Genomic DNA, 20,864 nt, shown 5'->3' with positions numbered 1-20,864 from the left:
CAAATGACCTACAAATTCTTAGAAGTGTAAAGAACTAAAAATATGTAACCAACTAAAATTGGGTTGTGGGAGGCTGCAGAAAGCAGAGAGAGACTAATTCACCATTGCTCAAAATAAAGTGTCAATACTGTCTAAAGAATGTACTCTCCAAACTTCACATCAAACTTTTTTGGGATGCAGTGCGATGTGGTACAGAGAGTAACAGGTTTTGGAGTCAGATGGCTCTGAATTGGTTGACACTCTTACTAACTTGGACATTCGAAAGTTATGTAGTCACTTATTTTCCTCATCTGTAGAGAAAGGCTACACTGGTGAAATGAGATCATGAAGCTAAAATGCCCAAAGGTAGGCCTGGGGCACAGTTGGTTATCATTAATAATAGTTATTATCAGTTGTAGATACTTAGGAGGACTAAAATAAATATGGAACCCAATATCCTAGTAGATGAGTAAGAGAGGGTTCGCAGACCTCGTGGGTGTGAACGTAGGGAGTGTTGTATGGAGTCAGACCAACCAAACAAAGGGAGTTGGCATTTGCGGTCACTCAGATTTTATGCAGCCAGGTTACTGCTGGCTCTGGATGGTTGACACACAGTGTGATGTTTCACTGCATTTGTATCAAGATAATGGCGCAACCATCCCCCCAAAATCCAGCATTATTCATAATCGCATCTTTCATCATCAATTTGGGGAAAGTCTTTGGTACACAGTCAATTCCTGGGGATGCAAATGATGATTTCTTCCTTTTTTTTTTGAGACGGAGTTTTGCTCTTGTTGCCCAGGCTGGAGTGCAGTGGCACTATATCGGCTCCCCACAACCTCCGCCTCTGGGGTTCAAGCGATTCTCCTGCCTCAGTCTCTCGAGTAGCTGGGATTACAGGCATGTGCCACCATGCCCGGCTAATTTTGTACTTTTTTAGTAGAGATGAGGTTTCTCCATGTTGGTCAGACTGGTCTCAAACTCTCGACCTCAGGTGATCCGCCCACTTAAGCCTCCCAAAGTGCTGGGATTACAGGTGTGAGCCACTGAGCCTGGCCTATTTCTTCCATTTTTAAGTATTCACATCTCTTTTTTTTTTTTTTGTGATGGTGTCTCGCTCTATCACCCAAGCTGGAGTGTGGTGGTGAGATCTTGGCTCACTGCAACCTCTGCCTCCCAGTTCACTCTATTCTCCTGCCTCAGCCTCCTGAGTAGCTGGAATTACAGGCACGAGCCACCACACTTCCCACTTTTCTGTTTGAAATTTTCAAGCTGGGCACAGTGGCTCACGCCTGTAATCCCAACACTTTGGGAGGCCAAGGCAGCTGGATCACCCTGAGGTCAGATGTTCAAGACCAGCCTGGCCGACATGGTGAAACCCTGTCTCTACTAAAAATACAAAAAAATTAGCCAGGCGTGGTGGCGGGCACCTGTAATCCCAGCTACTCGGGAGGCTGAGGCAGGAGAATCACTTGAACCTGAGAGGTGGAGGTTGTAGTGAGCCGAGATTGCACCACTGCACTCCAGCCTGAGTGACAGAGCGAGACTGCGTCTCAAAAAAAAAAAAAAAAAAAAAAAGGAAATAACAATGGAATGATTCACCTCAAACTCTTCACAGTAAATTCCTATGGGAGAAGGGAGCTGTGCTCTTTCAGCTTGGAACTAAAGTGGGACCTTAATGTTTCATTCTCCATACCACTGTATTGTATGACAATAAGCATATTCTAAATTATTACATCTGGTGATGTTGGTAACATCCTGTGTCCTTTTGATGCCACTGTTGCTGTGTCTTATTTAACTCTCACGGTGGGGATAAATAACCTATGGCTTATGTCTCTGGTTTGATAAGATGGAGTTAGGACGTGAGACCAGGGCATGGTGGTGGCAGAGGACGGCGGGCAGAAGTGAGGAAATGGGTGAGAAACATGTTTCTCATCTGGGCCCCAGGCCCAACAGCCCTGTGAGCTCACACTTCAAAAAAGGGCCCACCACCTGCTGACCTGAGAACTAGAGAAGTAACTCTCAGTCCAGAGATGGAGTTGGGGACACTTGGACCTGGGAGGTCCTGGAGACCCTCAGCTTCCTCTTTCCTTTAAGAGGGAAGATAGAAGAGAAGCTGTTCTTAAGATAGAAGCTGTTCTTCTGCACCCCACCCTGCCATCATTTCCAAATGAAAGTGGAGTCAAAGGCTTCAAGTATGAAATACAACTTTTTTCTTTTTGAGACGGAGTTTCGCTCTTGTTACCCAGGCTGGAGTGCAACAGCGTGATCTTGATTCACTGCAACCTCCGCCTCCTGGATTCAAGGGATCCTCCTGCCTCAGCCTCCCAAGTAACTGGGATTACAGGCATGCGCCACCGTGCCCGGTTTTAGTATTTTTGGTAGAGACGGGGTTTCACCGTGTTAGCCAGGCTGTTCTCGAGCTCCTGACCTCAAGTGATCCGCCCACCTCGGCCTCCCAAAGTGCTGGGATTACCGGCATGAACCACTGTGCCCGGACAGAAATACAGCTTTAAATTGGTTCAACTGGAATGTGTCCATCCCCTTATTCAAAGCCCACCTCCCCTCATTCATTGACTGGCTGCACTTTTACCTTTGTAGGCCTCTGTCAGATAAAACATGTAACAGAGTAGGCTTCATTCACCATCAACCAGCAAAGGCTTAGAGTTCTGCATCCACATCTCAAAAATGTACAAACAATGGAGATGAAAATGAGAGTAACACATATAATGAAGGAAATGGAAAGTTTGATGTGTGCATAAAACAATAAACTGTACAGATGTATAATAAACTGTACAGAAATAATATACAAGATGCAAAGACTAGAAATAGAAAAACAGGCCGGGTGTGGTGGCTCACGCCTGTCATCCTAGCATTTTAGGAGGTCGAGGCAGGCAGATCACGAGTCAAGAAATCGAGACCATCCTGGCCAACAACGTCTCTACTAAAAATAAAAAAATTAGCTGGGCATGGTGGCAGGCGCCTGTAGTCCCAGCTACTCAGGAGGCTGAGGCAGGAGAATCACTTGAACCCGTGAGGCGGAGGTTGTAGTGAGCCGAGATCGTGCCACTGCACTCCAGCCTGGCGACAGAGAGAGACTGTCTAAAAAAAAAAAAAAAAAAGGAACTAAAGCAAAAAGCAAAAAGAGAGAAAGAGAGGGAGAGGAAAGAAGCAGATTTTTAAAGACTTGGTTGATCACAGCCGGGCGCAGTGGCTCACGCCTGTAATCCCAGCACTTTGGGAGGCTGAGGCAGGTGGATCACGAAGTCAGGAGTTCAAGACCAACCTGGCTAAGATGGTGAAACCCCGTCTACTAAAAATACAAAAAAATTAGCCGGGCGCGGTAGCAGGCACCTGTAATCCCAGCTACTTGGGAGGCTGAGGCAGGAGAATTGCTTGAACCCAGGCGGCAGAGGTTGCAGTGAGCCGAGATCGCGCCACTGCACTCTGGCCCGGATGACAGACTGAGACTCTGTCTTAAAAAAAAAAAAAAAAAACTTGGTTGATCACTTGCCTGTCATATTTGTAAAATATCACATTTTACATTTGTGTTGTATGAAACTCAAGCTACTACCAAGATGCCCTTTTGTTTTGGGGTTTGTTACAAACAACATTTGTTCAAGATTTAGCCTAAGAGATTGCTTTTTCCTCTCAATCCACAAACATGTTGCTTAGGGCAGGAAATGTACATTCAATGAATGATATGTTGAAAATACAATGCATAAAAGAATAGGCACACTTTCCTTTTTTTTTTCTTTTGTGTAGAATTAAATCGCTGGAAGGAAGCCAAGGAAGTTACACATCTAACCTCCTGTTTCTGGCAGAACAGCCCTTAATTTGTTGGTATTTGGTAATCAGGTTGTTTTGGACCTTAGATGTTATGGATTGATTTCTTTATTTTCCAGCCAACCCATTTTAATTTTTTCATATTTCCATAAGGAAATGAGATAAAGTGCTTTTATATAGATTATAAATGTATTCTACTTTTTATTAAAAATTGTGAATAAATATTCTTTTTTATTATCTGCCTGAACATCAGTGTACCTCCTGCTATACATAGGCGTATGTTGATTTTTATTTAAGACATTTCTGTCCAACCAAGTCACGGCACAGAATGAATCTTTTGTTTCCTTCATGTTTTTTGGAATGTAGTAGAATTTTCATTTTACTGAGTCTTAGTTTCTTCATCTGTAAGATACAAGCATTTGCTGTTAAGAGTCACATGTATACATTATATAAATTATCCTATAAACACACCCATAGAGAGATGAAAACACTTTGTCTATAAAGTGCCAGAAAAATGTTAGGTACTTTGTTCCCAATTCAATATAAGGGGTTGAATTTTTTTTTCAAAATATAGGTTAGGATAAGTGTGTACATATAAGAAAGCATATGCGGCCAGGCACGGTGGCTCACGCCTGTAATCCCAGCACTTTGGGAGGTGGGTGGATCACCTGAAGTCAGGAGCTTGAGAACAGCCTGGCCAACATGGTGAAACCCCATCTCTACTAAAAATACAAAAGTTAGCCGGGCGTGGTGGCGCACACCTGTAATCCCAGTTACTTGGGAGGCTGAGGCAGCAGAATTGCTTGAACCCGGGAGGCGGATGTTGCAGTGTGCTGAGATCGTGCCGCTGCACTCCAGCCTGGGAGACAGAGCAAGACTCTCTGTTTAAAAAAAAAAAAAAAAAGGAAAGAAAGCAAGCATATCCATTCTAACTCAGAAAAGTGGAAAGTGAAGATGTTGAATGGCCAATTGGTTGTGTGGTTGTTAGACTCAGGATAGAGGTCTGAGCTGGAGAAAAGAGATTTGGGAGTTATCAGCCCATCTATGGAGTTGAAGCCAAAGGTGTGGATCAGGTCACATAAGGATAGTGTGGAGAAGCAGAAGTGATGAAGATGACCTGGAGCTGAATCCAAACACATACTAGCTGTTTAAGGCAGAGGCCTTGAAACTGGGGTCAAGCACTTTTAGGCACGTCCGAAGACTGTAAGGCATAGGCGAGCATGCAGGTTTCAAGAATCCATTTCGAGATTCTCACTTCCGTTTGTAACTTCCCTCCACTTGCTCTGCCTGGGAACACGCCTGTGCTGGGGAGGTGGGGAGTGGGGTGGTATCTCTGTTCTTATCCGTTCAATATTGCCTTTCTTCCACTTTCCAAGGGAAAGGCAATACTCTTCGTAGCACCGTATTGCATTATGCTGGACTGTGGAAAACCTCTGGGGCCCCAAACAAAGCAGCAATTAGGAACATTGATATTGGTTCTGAGACAGCAAATGACTCCAGTGCCAGGTGACAGACCCTCTGTCAGCCAAGTGGCCTCCAGCTCTGCATTCAACAAAGCTGAAGTAGGACCTTATTAAATTGTCAGCTGTTAAATCCCTATAGATTGCTTGTGCTTATAGCTCACTCTGTGATTTTTGGCTTAAACACAAAAGGAATTCAAAGAATCGAAAGAAATTGCTATAAAAAAAACTTCCTCTCCCTTCCACTATGTGAATAAAGTGTCTCAGAGCTTACATCTATAAAAATGAAAAATAGGAATAAAATTGATGCTGAATCCTGCTTCACTCTAGCAAAAGGTCGTATTTACCAACAGATAACTAAACTATAAGGGAAAAGACATATGTATTTCCAGCCTCATCTATTAAATGATACATTTCCAATAAAAATTTTTTATGGCGAAACTAAAGTGACAGAAACCAGATCAGTGATTGCTTGGAACTAGGTATTAGGGGATTGCTTGCAAAGAGGCAAGAGGAAAATTTGGGGTTGAGGAAATGTTTTATATCTTGCTTTTTTTTTTTTTTTCTTTGAGACAGAGTCTCACTCTGTAGCCCAGGCTGGAGTCCAGTGGCATGATCTCAGCCCGCTGCAAACCCTGTCTCCCGGGTTCAAGTGATTCTCCTGCCTCAGCCTCCCAAGTGGAGGGGATTACAATCGCGTGCCAACATGCCTGGCTCGTTTTTGTACTTTTTGTAGAAACAGGGTTTCGCCATGTTGGCCAGGCTGGTCTCAAACTCCTGGCCTCAAGTGATCTGCCTGCCTTGGCTTCTCAAAGGGCTGGGATTACAGGCATGAGCCACTGTGCCCAGCAAATATCTTGATTTTGATTGTGGTTTTGGTTACATAACTGAACACAGTTGCCCAAACTCATCAAAACGTACACTTAAAATGGGTGAATTTGGGGGTGATGTAAATTACACCTCAATAAAACTGAGACGAAGCCTTGTTTAATAATTATGTACTAAATTTATATTTAATCAATTGTGTACCAATAATCATTGTAATAACAACACAATCCTGAGGAAATCTTTAATACTTAGAGGCCTGTAGCTATGGGAAGCGCAGACAATTTTAATTTATACCTATTTTCAGAGAAGTAAAGGTAGTGATTAATAAAAGACTATAAAGCATAAAACGTATTACATAAGGGTTTAATTCTGTGGGAAAATAAATAGAATATCAAAGAGAAAAATAAACTATATATTAATAAAATGCCAACTATTATAAACATTTTTAAAATATGCAGTAGGCTATAACTAACAAACCACCATGTATTTTAGATTTAATTACATCTATTTTGAAGAATGATATGATAGTTTTTTTTTTTTTTTTTGTGACAGAGTCTTGCTCTGTCACCCTGGCCGGGGTGCAGTGGTGCGATCTCAGCTCACTGCAACCTCCACCTCCCGGGTTCAAGCGATTCTCCTGCCTCAACCTCCTGAGTAGCTGGGATTACAGGTGTGTGCTACCATGACCGGCTAATTTTTGTATTTTTAGTAGAGAAGGGGTTTCACCATGTTAGTCAGGATGGTCTCGATCTCCTGACCTCGTGATCCTCCCGCCTCGGCCTCCCAAAATGCTGGGATTACAGGCATGAGCCACCGCGCCCGACTGATTGTTTTATTTTAAATATTGGTACTGGCCAGGCGCAGCGGCTCATGCTTGTCATTCCAACACTTGGGGAGGCTGAGGCAGGAGGATCGCTTGGGCCCAAGAGTTTGAGACCATACTCAACAACAAAAAGCTGGGCATGGTGGTGCATGTCTGTAGTTCCATCTATTTGGGAGGCTGAGGAGCACTTGAGCTCAAGAGTTCGAGGCTGTAGTGAGCTATGGTCACACCACTGCACACCAGCCTGGGCAACACAGCACGACCCTGTCTCTAAAATGAAATAAAATAAAACAGAATGTTGATACTTATAATATACTATAAAATTTATTCTTTGCAGCTGTTTAGACATAGCTTACTTTTTATATCAACTTAAAAAATGTACACGGAGAATACATATTTGTTCAAAATAACTTTGGGAATAAAAAAACAAGAGGCCTAAGAAAGAATAACCAGAAAGAGGCCGGGCATGGTGGCTCACACCTGTAATCCCAGCACTTTGGGAGGCCGAGGCTGGCGGGTCACAAGGTCAGGAGTTCGAGAACATCCTGGCCAACATGGTGAAACCCCGTCTCTAATAAAAATACAAAAATTAGCTGGGCATGGTAGCGGGCACCTGTAATCCCAGCTGCTCAGGAGGCTGAGGCAGGAGAATCACTTGAACCTGGGAGGCGGAGGTTGCAGTGAACCAAGATAGTGCCACTGTACTCCAGCCTGGACGACGGAGTGAGACTCTGTCTCAAAAAAATAAATAAATAAATAAAATAAAATAAATTAAAATAACCAGAAAGAAAGAAAGAAAACGAACTCAGAGAGAATGTTCATATAATTCTAAGAAGAGGAGCCGCGCAATGAAGGTACATTGTTTCAAGCCTCAGAGAGATCAAGGTAAGAGCCCCAAGATAACCCATTGAGGCTTTAATTTATGAGTGAATGTGTTGGGAGAGATAGTCTCACCTTTCCCCAGACCAAGAAGAGATTTTGAGTTTGGAGAAGAAAGATTCCCTTGGCCTCCAGGACCTAAAAAAAAAAAAAAAAAAAAAAATGCTGAATTGCTCAAAGGCAAAAAAGACATCCAAGGAGATTGCAAAATTGGGAGTGAGATAGTGAGAGAAGAGTGTTTTAGAGAATGGGGAAATGGCCGGCTGCGGTGGCTCGCACCTGTAATCCCAGCACTTTGGGAGGCCGAGGCGGGTGGATCACTTGAGGTCAGGAGTTGGAGAACAGCCTGGCCAACATGGTGAAACCCAGTCTCTACCAAAAATACAAAAATTAGCTGGGCATGGTGGTAGACGCTTGTAATCCCAGCTACTAGGGAGGTTGAGGCAGGAGAATTGCTTGAACCCGAGAGGCAGAGGTTGCAGTGAGCCGAGATCGCACCACTGTACTCCAGCCTGGGTGACAGAGCATGACTCTGTCTCAAAAAAAAAGAAAAAGAATGTGGAAATGAATGGAGGCCTGTGGATTCTCCTGATAACCCCCTGGGTAGGTGGCAGTGCTGTGTCTATCCAGGGAGGCACCAGGCTTTCCAGCCTACATAGTGCCTGGCTTAGAACAGATGAAGGAGAGCCACTCACTTCCAAGGGAAGCAAATGGCTGGACAAGAAGCATATCACTCCAGCCTTTCATGCACCAAAGACCCAGCAGCCTCCGATGTTCCATGCCGTCTAAAGCCTTCCTGAACCTTGCATGGCCCTGGGCCTGGGACGGAAGCCTCTGTAATGGCTGAGATGGGATTTCCTCCTTACCCAGGGGGACAGGAAGCTCGGAAGCAGATGAATGTTTTAGGAAACGTAGAAATGTAATATTTTTTGAAGTCTGTTGTTGCATATTAAAAGCCACGCCATAAGGACTGAAAAGTGTTAGGTTGGATTTGATAGCCGGGAGGTCACAGGCGCAGTTTCAGTAGGGTGTGGGGTATGATCTAGATTCTATGAAGCAAGGAATGAGTGGGAGAAGAGGAAGTGGAGCAATACACGCAGACTCCTATTTCAAGAAGCTTGGCTATGAATAGAAGGTGAGATGAAGGGCAGATACGGAGTGGAAGACTCAGCCGGGGCTGCTGACAGCAATCTTGTGATGTGCAAGGCTGGACCGGAGACCAACCTGTCTGGGCATCTTTTGGTTGTTTTCTTGGTATTTATAAAGGTAATTGTAAAGTCAGGCAAGCCGTTGCAATAACTGACCCCTCAAATCTCAGCAGCTGCCTGCCACACGAGAGAGTTTTATTTCCCATGAAGATAAAGTCCAAGTGGTTGATCCTACTCGGTGATCATGTTCAGCAGCAGAGATACAAAGACCCAAGCTAATCCCATCCATGCCATCTTCCACACGTGGCTCCCAAAGTTGCTCTGGAAAGGGGAAAGAGCACAGAGGATGGCCTTTGGGAGGTTTACCTGGTTGTGGACTGGAAGTGGTGCACATCACTTCTGCCCACTTTGAGCAGAACTCCGTCCCATGACCACACCTGCCTGCAAAGGATCTGGAAATGAGACGTAGCTGTGCGCCCGGTCAGGACAGGAGGTAAATCTGATGGATGCATAGCTAGTCTCTGCCACATCACTCTACCCACTCATTACTATGACCCAATTAGCTTGTATCTTAGCCTCGAGATCCTACCCTCAGTTTAGATGGTATCTTGACGATGTTACTGCTCAGATACCTGTTCTAAGCTGTTTCCTGCTTGATATATTCAAGTCTGGACTTCTTGTAAAAACTGTAAGGGAAACATCCCGTTTATGACACAAGTCACAAAACCCCTAAATTCTTAGCTTGGGAAGGATCAGAGGGGAGGGTTTACGGGGTTGGGGGTATGGCAGGCAATAGGACCAGTCTCCCCGAAACACTCCTTTTTTGGGGTTTTCCTTTGGGGTTCTCCACTGTGATGACCATTGGCTCCAGGGACTTTCTCCAGTAACAATGTACCCCCAATGTAAACAAAGTGTCCCTCCCACATCTGTGCAGGATGGCGTTTTCAAAAAGACTTAGTAAGTTCTAAGGGAGGACAAATGAAAAATTAAGAGGTATTATATGTAAGCCAGAGGACTCTAGTCACACATAGCCATAGAATTGCTCACTGTTGGCCAGGTGCGGTGGCTCATGCCTGTAATCCCAGCACTTTGGGAGGTCAAGGCAGGCGGATCACCTGAGGTCAGGAGTTCCAGACCAGCTTGGTCAACACGGTGAAACCCCGTTTCTACTAAAAATACAAAAAAACTGGCAGGGCGCGATGGCTCACGCCTGTAATCCCAGTACTTCGGGAGGCCGAGGCGGGCAGATGACAAGGTCAAGAGATTGAGACCATCCTGGCCAAGCCAACATGGTGAAACCTCATCTCTACTAAAAATACAAAAATTAGCTGGGCGTGGTGGTGCACGCCTATAGACCCAGCTACTTGGGAGGCTGAGGCAGAAAAATCACTTGAACCCGGGAGGCGGAGGTTGCAGTGAGCTGAGATCGCGCCACTGCACTCCAGCCTGGGCAACAGAGCAAGACTCTGTCTCATAAAAAAAAAAAAAAATTACTCACTGTCTGTCTACTGTCTCTCTCTTTTTTTTTTGAGATGGAGTCTCAGTCTGTCACCCAGGCTGGAGTGCAGTGACATGATCTCGGCTCACTGCAGCCTTCGCCTGCTGGGTTCAAGTGATTCTCCTGCCTCAGCCTCCTGAGCAGGTGGGATTACAGGCACACACCGCCATATCCAGCTATGTTTTTTTTGTATTTTTAGTACAGACAGGTTTCACCACGTTGGCCAGGCTGCTCTTGAACTCCTGACCTCAGGTGATCCACCCGCCTTGGCCTCCTAAAGTGCTGGGATTACAGGCGTGAGCCACTGCCCCCAGCTTGTCTCCTTTTTAAGTGCTGTCCCTAATGACTTGCAGGACTTCTTAATGTGGATAGTTGGATTTGTCCCTGGCTTGAGACACTCTTCTAGACTTGGATATCTGACTCTTCATCTCAGTGTTCTATCAGCTTGACTTACTGATGTGCCATCTTGCTTAGTCAGTTTGGACTGCCTCCGATGCCCTGGGTTTTGGAATGTGTTTCTTGGCCCTGGGCCTTGGTGTGTGTTTGTATGTGGATGTGTATTTGTGATAGTTCCAATCTGGACTGTTTTTTGCCTTGGCCACTGAGCCTGTACCATAGCTAGACTTACCCGGTGCTTCAAGCCTCCTTGTGTTCCTCCAGGTTACTCTTTTGACAGGCTATCTGCAGACACCACAGCAGGACCCAACCCCCAGTTCCCTCTCCTGTACTTTTAGTTCCTGAGTGACCCAGTTCTATCTTGGGTAATTAGCAGACCAGGGACTGACCTCAACCTTCAAATGAGCTTAATCTCTCTATAACGAGGGTGTAGAATTATGCAACGTTTGAGCAACACACACAAATTGTGTTTACCCTGGTATTTAGCAAGCCTACGAGAGAGCCGGAAATCCACAAGGAAAGTTATCTTAATGGAAGGGAGAGTCAAAGGGCACATGGCGGTCAAAGACAATGGGCTCTAGGAATTGAATGTTTGTGTGCCTCACAAATTCATATGTTGAAGTCCTTACCCCTAATTGATGGTCTTAGGAGATGGGGCCTTTGGGAGACAATTAGGTCATGAAGACAGAGCTCTCATGAATAGGAGTAGTGCCCTTATAAAAGGGAACCCAGAGAGCTCTCTCTGCACTTTTTGCCACATGAGGACAGAGCAAGAAGGCGGCCATGTGCAACCTGGAAGAGAGCCCTCACTAGAACCCAATGATGCTGCTGCCCTGATCTGGGATTTCCGGACTCCAGAACTGTGAGGAAGAAGTTTCTGCTGTTTATCGTAGACCCAGTCTAGATATTCTGTTAGAGCCGCCCACGCTGACTAACACGATGGGCAAGTGGGCGTGACTCCAGTGCTCATTCCATCACCTTGCCTCTGGCTTGGCTCTCAGAGATTCTTGCTTGGGCCCTAAGAAGAAGGGACTCTAATAAAAAAGCACAATAAAAGGAGTGTTTTACAAAATTTCCTTGGCTCATTAGGGGGCCCAGGTGACATTTCAGGGGAGGGATATTCCAGGGCAGCTGGACCCTGGGAGGAATATTGTGGGTACCAGGCTGTAGATGAAAGAGGATAAGACATGGGGGAGTGGTGCCATTTGGGGAGGGCTGGAGTTTCTGTAATTCCAAGTGACGTGGCTTGTGGAGATATGGGTTGCACATATCCTAGTATGCACATCTGTACACACACATTTATACATACAGGACTTTAAAAGGTGAGGCAGCAGAATGCTATTCTGGATGCTTTTTTTCTTCTGTATTACCGAAGCCGGAACAGAATTCTGGAATGTCATCAAGAAGATTTCATCTCAGATTAAGCAAGATAACAATATTTAGAGTAAACAGATAAACAGAAACTTGAATTAGAATAAGAATATGATCAAGATGTGAGGTTTTCTTGCGGGAAATACTTCTCTATTTATGAAAAATATTAATAAGTGATCTAAATGTATAAGGTTTTAACCTATGAATATGAGAGGGAGAGACAGAATCTTTCCATTGAAGAATCTCCCAGGCTACATGAAAAAATCAAGATAATGCCTGTATGAGCTTTAAAAAAATCAACTTATACATAAGAACTTGAAATGAAAAGCAAGTTCTGGAATCCATTTCTCCACACCTTACTGGCCCCCATCTTCTACCATTTCTGGTATTTTTTTCCCATAGCTCTAAATAATATGCATGTACAGTGATTTCTTGATTTATAAATGTTAGGCATTGTATTTTGACTTCCTTATATCATAGTGAAGTATGTAACTTAAGATTAGCATCCTCTCCCATTTTCTTTCCAGTACAGTTAGAAAAAAATCTTCCATTTCTCTCTCTTAATTTCTATTTCCAAGCTAAAAAATGATACCCAACCCTCTATTTTTTATTTTATAGATGGTATCTTTCAATTCCTCACTTAGGCAGATGAAAATCTTGCCTCTTGTTCTTTTTTTGTTACTACTCATCATTATCATCCTTTTCTTCTTCCCATCTCTATCAGCTGCATCTTTATCATTTTATTGTGAATGCTAATATTTAAACTCTGATCAAGTTAACTCTAGTTAACTTTGATTTGTCGATAGATTGATTATAAAAGTTGATAATCAATGTGCAATCAATATTTCTTTTTTGCTATCTAGAATTTGAAATTTTTCATGTATTTGAGGCATTTTCCACCTAATGAGTCCTGGGGGAGGCAGAGCTCTTCTACTATTACAGAAAATAGAAAATGCAAATACTTAAGCCTCCCAGCTTCCCTTGCTGGTATTGGGTAGGTATTTAACCTAGGCAGAGCCAATTTTATGCATCAGTATGTTTTAAATTGGGAGCAGCTCATGAAAACAGTCATGGATGCTGAGAATTTCCGGGGCAGTGGTGGTGGTGGCAACGACAACCAGGTTCAGGGATGGGAGAAAGGCGAGGAAGGGACTCAGTGGTGCAGTACAACACCCACTGTCCAATGTGATTGGTTGGACGGCATCAACTATGTCATCTGTTGCTTAGCAATGGTGGCAATAGTGGGGTTCTCCCTGGACAGCCTCATTATGGCCGTGGGCCCCACTGGGTAACTTCTGAGCCTCCAGTAGTTCCCAGAGTCACTGATACCTTTCAAGAAATTCTTTTTCTGTTCAGATCAGTTAGGGTTGATTTTCATAGTTTCTGATTATGAGTCTTGATTAATGAACAATTGAAGAACTATCTTCTTATGGTTGTGAAAGTGTAGGCTGGGCGTGGTGGCTCATGCCTGGAATCCCAGCACTTTGGGAGGCCGAGGTGGGCGGATCACAAGATCAGGATATTGAGACCATCCTGGCTAACATGGTGAAACCCTGTCTCTACTAAAAATACAAAAAAATTAGCCAGGCGTGGTGGTGGACGCCTATAGTCCCAGCTACTCGGGAGGCTGAGGCAGGAGAATGGTGTGAACCCGGGAGGTGGAGCTTCCAGTGAGCCGAGATCGCGCCACTGCACTCCAGCCTGGGCGACAGAGTGAGACTCTGTCTCAAAAAAAAAAAAAGTGTTATTCACCGTCAATTTATGTTCATTTCTTTGTCTATGGATTTAATATTACATATCTATGTCATTCTTTGGAGAAAGTTCCAGTCATGAAGTTCAAATGCATTTTCTGGCTGGGCACAGTGGCTCACACCTATAGTCCCAGCACTTTGGGAGGCTGAGGCGGGACAATCACTTGAGCCCAAGAATTCGAGACCAGTCTGGGCAACATAGTGAGATCGCATCTTTACTAAAAATAAAAAATTAGGTATGGTGGCATGCACCTGTGATGCCAGCTATTTGGGAAGCTGAGGTGGGAAGATCACTTGAGCCTGGGAGGTCAAGGCTGCAGTGAGCTGTGATCATGCCACTGCACTCCAGCCTGAGTGACAGAGCGTTACCCTGTCTCAACAACACAACAACAACAACACAAATGCATATCCTCAAGTATATCCAAACTTGAAGTCTCCCATCTATTCCATCCTCTCCCTTCTATTGTCAAGGACTTGCCCTGTGGGAACTTGGCTTGTTCCTGCCCCACGGGCTGCTTGTTCCCCAGGTCTGCGGAACAGCTCTGAGCCTGCACCTGCCATTCACTGTCCCCTGATTTGGATTCACTATTTCTAGATCCTGCATTTCTTTCTTTGTTGGTTTCCTTCTTCGCTTGATTGAATTTCATCTTTAATTAGCTTCCTAAGAGAGACTACATGGAAATAAAAAGTCTTTCTTCTAAATGTCCATTTGATTGATGGTTTGACTGTAGATAGAATTCTAGAATGTGGCAGCTATTCATGAAACCCATTTTCTTCTCTTCCTAGGCTCACAGTTAGACTACATTCCTAGCCTCCTGAAGAGTTAGGTACAGCTGTGTGACTGAATTCCTGCCAATGAAATGTGGTGAGAACCACTTCCAGGCCTGGCCCACAGAAACCTCCCATAGACAATTCTTCATCCTCTTTCCTTTTGCATCAGGCCTGATACAGAAGAGCATGACAACTTTGGAACCCCTGCATAGAAAGCGGAGAAGCCACAAGCTGAGGAGCTTCTGGATTCTTCCAATTTTAGCAGTCCTTCCAATTTTAGCTCTGGATTTTGTTCAAATGAGAAACAAATCCCAACATTTCCAAAGCAAGTAATATTGTACAATCATAAGTCATTTCAAAATCACAGAGAAAAGTAGCAATCTTCCCAAAGAATTAAGAAAGTCTGCTAGGCCACGAAACAAGTGTTAATAAATTTGAAAAGACTGACTGAAATTATACCTCATATCTTTTCTAATCATAGTGAACTGGAACCAGAAATTAATAACAGAAGGAAAGCTGGAAAATCCACAAATACGTGGAAATTAAACAATACACTCTCAAACAACCAATAGGTTAAAGAAGAAATCATAAAAGAAATTAGAAAATATCTTGAGATAAATGAAAAAGAGAACACAACATAACAAAGCTTATGGGATGCAGTAAAGGCAGTGCTAAGAGGGCAATTTAGAGCTGTAAATGCTTACACCAGAAAGGGAGAAAGACCTGAAATCAACAAGTTCACTTTACACCTTATGGATCTAGAAAAAGAAGAACAAACTAACCTCAAAGCTAGCGAAGGAAGGAAATAATGAGAAAAGGACAGAGATAAACAAAGTAGAGACTAGAAAAACAACAGAGAAAATGAATGAAACCAAGAGTCGTTTCTCTGAAAAAATCAACAAAATTGACCAACCTTTATCTACATTAACTTAGGAAAAAAAAGAAAAAAAGAAAGAGAAGACTCAAATAAATCAGAAATGAAAGAGGGACATTACAACCAATTTCACAGAAATAGACAGTCTTTTAAGAGAATACTGTGATCAGCTGTGTGCCAAAACTTTCAATAACCTGAATGAAATGGATACATTCTAGAAACACACAACCTATCAAGACTGAATAATGAACATATAGAAAATCTGAACAGACCTTAATAAAGAGATTGAATCAGTATCAAAAAAGCTTCCAAAATAGAAAAGCCCAGGACCAAATGTCTTCCCTGGTGAATTCAACCGAACAGTTAAAGAAGAATTAACACCAACTCTCCTCAAACTCTGCAAAAAAAAATTGAACGGGAAGGAAACCTTCCACACTTATTCCACGAGGTCCTCAATACCCTGATACCAAGGGCAAACAAAGACACTACAAGAAAAGAAAGCTATAAACTAAGATCATGGCTAAATATTGATGCAAACATCCTAAACAAAATACTAGCAAACAGAACTTAACAACATATTAAAAGAATTATACCCCATGACCAAGCAAAGTTTATTCCTGGAATGCAAGGAGGTTTCAACATATGAAAATCCATCAATGTAATAAACCACATTAACAGATTAAAAGAAAAAACACATAATCATCTCAATTGATGCAGAAAAAGTATTAATATTTGGAAAAATTAACACTCATGATGAAAACACTCAACAAACTAGGGATAGAAGAAAATGTCCTCAACGTGATAAAGGCCATAGCTGAAGAGCCCACAGCCAACATCATACTCAGTGGTGAAAGACTGAAATCTTTTCTTCTAAAATCAGGAACAAGAATAGGATGACCACTGTTATGAACTAAATTGTGTCCTCTTAAATTCATATGTTGAAGCTCTAGCCCTCAGTATGACTGTTTTTGGAGATAGGGCCTTTAAGGAGGTAAGTGAGGTTAAATGAGATCAGAAGAGTGAGGTCCTAATCTGATAAGACTGTTGTCCCCATTTTTTTTTTTTTTTTTGGAGACGTGGTCTTGCTCTGTTGCCCAGGCTGGAGTGCAGTGGCATGATCTCGGCTCACTGTAACCTCCATCTCCTGGGCTCAAGTGATCCTCCCACCTCAGCTTCCCAAGTAACTGGGACTACAGGTATGCACCACCACACCCAGCAAATTTTTGTATCTTTAGTAGTGGTGGGGTTTCACCATATTGCTCAGGCTGGTCTCAAACTCTTGGGCTCAAGCAATTCATCCACCTCGGCCTCCCAAAGTGCTGGGATTATAGGCATGAGCCACTGTGCCTGGTTTAGGACTGATGTCTTTATAAGAAGAGGAAGATGCCAGGTGTGGTAGCTCATGCCTATAATCCCAGCACGTTGGGAGACCGAGGCGGGTGGATCATTTGAAGTCAGGGGTTCCAGACCAGCCTGGCCAACATGGTGAAACCCCGTCTCTACTAAAAATACAAAAATTAGCTGGGCACGGTGGCGCATACCTATAGTCCCAGCTACTCAGGAGGCTGAGGCAGGAGAATCGCTTGAAGCCGGGAGGCAGAGTTTGCAGTGAGAGTGAGCCAAGATTGCGCCACCGCACTCCAGCCTGGCAACAGAGCAAGACTCCATTAAAAAAAAATAAAAACAAAACAACAACAACAACAACACCCAAACTTCTAGAACTAATAAACAAATTTTAAAAAGTAGCAAGATACAAAATCAGCATGTATAATTCCATTGTATTTCTATGCAGGAACAATGAACAATCTGAAAAGAAAATTAAGAAAATGGTTCTAGAAACAGTCATATCAAAAATAATAAAATACGCAGGAATAAACTTCTCCAAAGAGGCAAATGAATGACTTGCACACTGAAAACTACAAAGTGTTGCTGAAATAAATTAAAAAAAACACAAAAGGAAAGATGTCTGATGTTCTGGACTGGAAGACTTAATAGCATTTAGATGTCAATACTACTCAAAAAGATCTACAGATTTAATGTAATCCCTATCAAAATCCCAAATATTTTTTTTCAGAAATAGAAAAGTCCATTGTACAATTAATATGGAATGTCAAGGGACCCCAAATAGCCAAAACAATCTTGAAAAAAGAATAGTTGTTGGCCTCACAATTCCTGAGTTCAAATTTTATTACAAAACAACAGTAATTAAAACAATGTGATACTGGCATAAAGACAGACACATAGACCAATAGAATAGAGAGACCAGAAATAAATCCTTGCATATATAGCCAAATGACTTTTGAGAAGAGTGCAAAGACCATTCAACAGGGAAAGGACAACTTTTTCAACTGGGTATGGAAACTGGGTATCTGTATGCAAAATAATGCAAAATAATGAAGTTGGACCCTTACCATACACCATACACAAAAATTAACTCAAAATGGATCAAAGACGTTACTATAAGAGCTAAAATTATAAAACTCTCTGGAGAAAGCATAGGAAAAAACATCCATGACATCAGATTTGACAATGATTTCTTGGCTGTGACATCAACATCACAGGCAACAAAAGAAAAAATAGATGAATTAGATCCATCAAAATAAAAAAAAAACCTGTGTATCAAAGGACACAATCAACAGATTGAAAAGTCAACCTACAGAATGGGAGAAAATATTTGCAAATTATCTATCTAAGTAGGGTTTAATATCCAGAATATGTAAAGAATTCCTACAACTCAACAATGAAAAACCCAGTAACACGATTAAAAACTAGGCAAAGTATTTGAGTAGATATTTCTCCAAAGAAAATATACAAGTGGTCACCAAGTAAATGAAAAGATACTCAACACCACTAATAATTACGGAAATACAAATGAAAACCACAGTGAGATACCACCTCATACCCATGAGGAAGGACACTATCAAAAGAACAGAAAATAAGTGTTGGCAAGGATGTGGAGAAACTGGAATATTGTGCATTGTTGGTGGAAATGTAAAATGGTGCAGCTACTATGGAAAACACTATGGTGGGTCCTCACACAATTAAAAATACAATTACCATAAGAACCAGCAATATCGCATGTCCATATATATTCAAAAGAATTGAGAGTAGGGTGTTGAACAGATATTTGTACAGCCAACTTCATAGCATTATTATTATTGTTATTGAGATGGAGTCTTGCTCTATCACTGAGGCTGGAGTGCAGTGGCGCGATCTGGGCTCACTGCAACCTCTGCCTCCCAGGTTCAAGTGATCCCCCTGCCTCAGCCTCCCAAGTAGCTGGCACTACAGGCATGCACGACCACACCCAGCTAATTTTTGTATTTTTAGTAGAGACAGGGTTTCACCATGTTGGCCAGTCTGGCCTCGAACTCCTGACTTCAAGTGATCTGCCTGCCTCAGCCTCCCAAAGTGTTGGGATTACAGGCGTGAGCCACTGCGCCCAGCCCATAGCAACATTATTCACAATAGCCAAAAGGTGAATAAAACCCAAATGGCCATTGACAGATGAACAGATAAAACAAAATGTGGTCTATCCATGCAATGAAATATTATTCAGCTTCAAAAAGGAAGAAAATTCATATACATACTGCAACATGGGTGAGCTTTGAGAACATTAAGTAAGGTGTCAGCCACAAATCGCATACTGTGATTTTACTTACATGAGGCTGTTAAGAGTAGTCAAACGCATAGAAACAGAAAGTAGAATGGTGGTTGCCAGCAGCTGGATGAGAGGAAACCGGAGTTGTTGTTTAATGGGTACAAAGTTTCATTTTTACTTCATGAAAAAGCCAGGGCAATTTGTGGCACAATGACTTAACACCATTGAATTGTACACTTAAAAATAGTTATGATGGTAAATTTCATGTTATGTATCTTTTTATCAGAATTAGGAATTTTATTTATTATTATTTTTAATTTTTAATTTGTTAGAGACAGGGTCTTGCTCTGTCTCCGAGGCTGCAGTGCGGTGATGTGGTCAGAGCTCACTGCAGCCTCAAATTCCTGGACTCCAGCGACCCTCCTGCCTGTCTTCCGAGTAGCTGGGACCACAGGTGCGCCACCACACCTAGATAATTTTTAGAATAATTTTTTGTAGTGATGGGGTGCCACTTCATTGCCCAGGCTGGTAGGAATTTTAGAAAAGAAAACAGACACATGATTCTCTTACAATAAATGGTTAATCTACATTACTATCTAAATTCAAGCCTCCATCGCTTAAAAAGCAGAAATCTTACAGCTTTAAAATGGTTGTTTTCCAGTTTTGGAAAGTCAAAGGGCCCATCCTTAGCTAACATATGCTACCATAAAGGCATTTTACAAAGTTACTAAATAATTTATATATCTTGAACCTTTACTAATAGATCTTAAATGTTACTAAAATGCTAATAAGTATGTTACAGTTTAGAAGTATATGTCAAAACACTAAACTCAAGTTTAAATAATTATATCTGAACGGAGGAAATGAGCTCTGGGAATATTTTTAAGCAAAAAGGCGGCATAGACCTAGTAATGGAATTGTAAGCAACTTAATCACGAGCAGCAGCCGTCTACCCCGGTGGCTGAGGCAGGGGGATCACTTGAACCAGGGAGGCAGAGGTTGCAGTAAGCCCAGATCGCGCCACTGCACTCCAGCCTCGGTGACAGAGCGAGACTCCATCTCAATAACAATAATAATAATAATAATGCTATGAAGTTGGCTGTACAGATATCTGTTCGACACCCTACTTTCAATTCTTTTGAATATATGTGGAGATGCGATATTGCTGGATCTTATGGTAATTTTATAAATAAAAAGCTACTCTTTTTATTTGTCACTGTTAATGGGAGAGTCAAAACCTTTTGTAACTGATACAGAGCTGCCTCACCTAATCAAATTCCCTTTGGGTATTGGGATTTGCCCTCATATACTCAATTTTTTCAGTTCACCCAGGAGTGACTGAGGGCTTATGAGTAGAAAAATGGTGAATAACCGACACCTTTGTATCCATGAACATGTATTTTTATTAGCTTAAAATGCAAATAGAAAGTCTTTAATGATTTAAAATGTTTTGTCTTCCATTCAAAGTACTTCTTTTGGTGAGAATTTCCCTCAGAAGCCTAATTAATAGCAACCAGGAAATTGGAGAATGTGGAGTCAGAGTATAGGGAGTTTAAGAATTTCTTTTTTTTTTTTTTTCTTTTTTTGAGACGGCGTCTCACTCTGTTGCCCAGGCTGGAGTGCAGTGGCGCAATCTCGGCTCACTGCAACCTCTGCCTCCTGGGTTCAGGTGATTCTCCTGCCTCAGCCTCCCGAGTAG

General features: G+C 42.5%; 1 long non-coding RNA gene across 2 annotated transcripts in view, besides 1 other annotated feature; it reads left to right on the top strand.

Annotated features, from left to right (window-relative positions):
* Positions 1–16,110, top strand: part of LOC105376413 (uncharacterized) — a 70,155-nt gene extending 54,045 nt beyond the window's left edge. For both annotated transcript variants that reach the window (XR_007062054.1, XR_930662.3), the window contains one exon: positions 14,706–16,110. This is a non-coding gene — a long non-coding RNA (uncharacterized LOC105376413). The remainder of the gene's footprint in view (positions 1–14,705) is intronic.
* Positions 19,191–19,340: an enhancer, noted in NCBI's record as "active region_3019". NCBI's record gives its function as "activates an Ori minimal core promoter by ATAC-STARR-seq in GM12878 lymphoblastoid cells {active_cell/tissue: GM12878}" and the evidence as "EXISTENCE:reporter gene assay evidence [ECO:0000049][PMID:35858748]".

The sequence above is a fragment of the Homo sapiens genome, chromosome 10 (assembly GCF_000001405.40).
Source record: "Homo sapiens chromosome 10, GRCh38.p14 Primary Assembly".
Taxonomy (NCBI): Eukaryota; Metazoa; Chordata; class Mammalia; order Primates; family Hominidae; genus Homo; species Homo sapiens.
The sequence above is the reverse complement of the archived record's forward strand: the minus strand, read 5'-3'. Positions and strand labels throughout refer to the sequence as shown.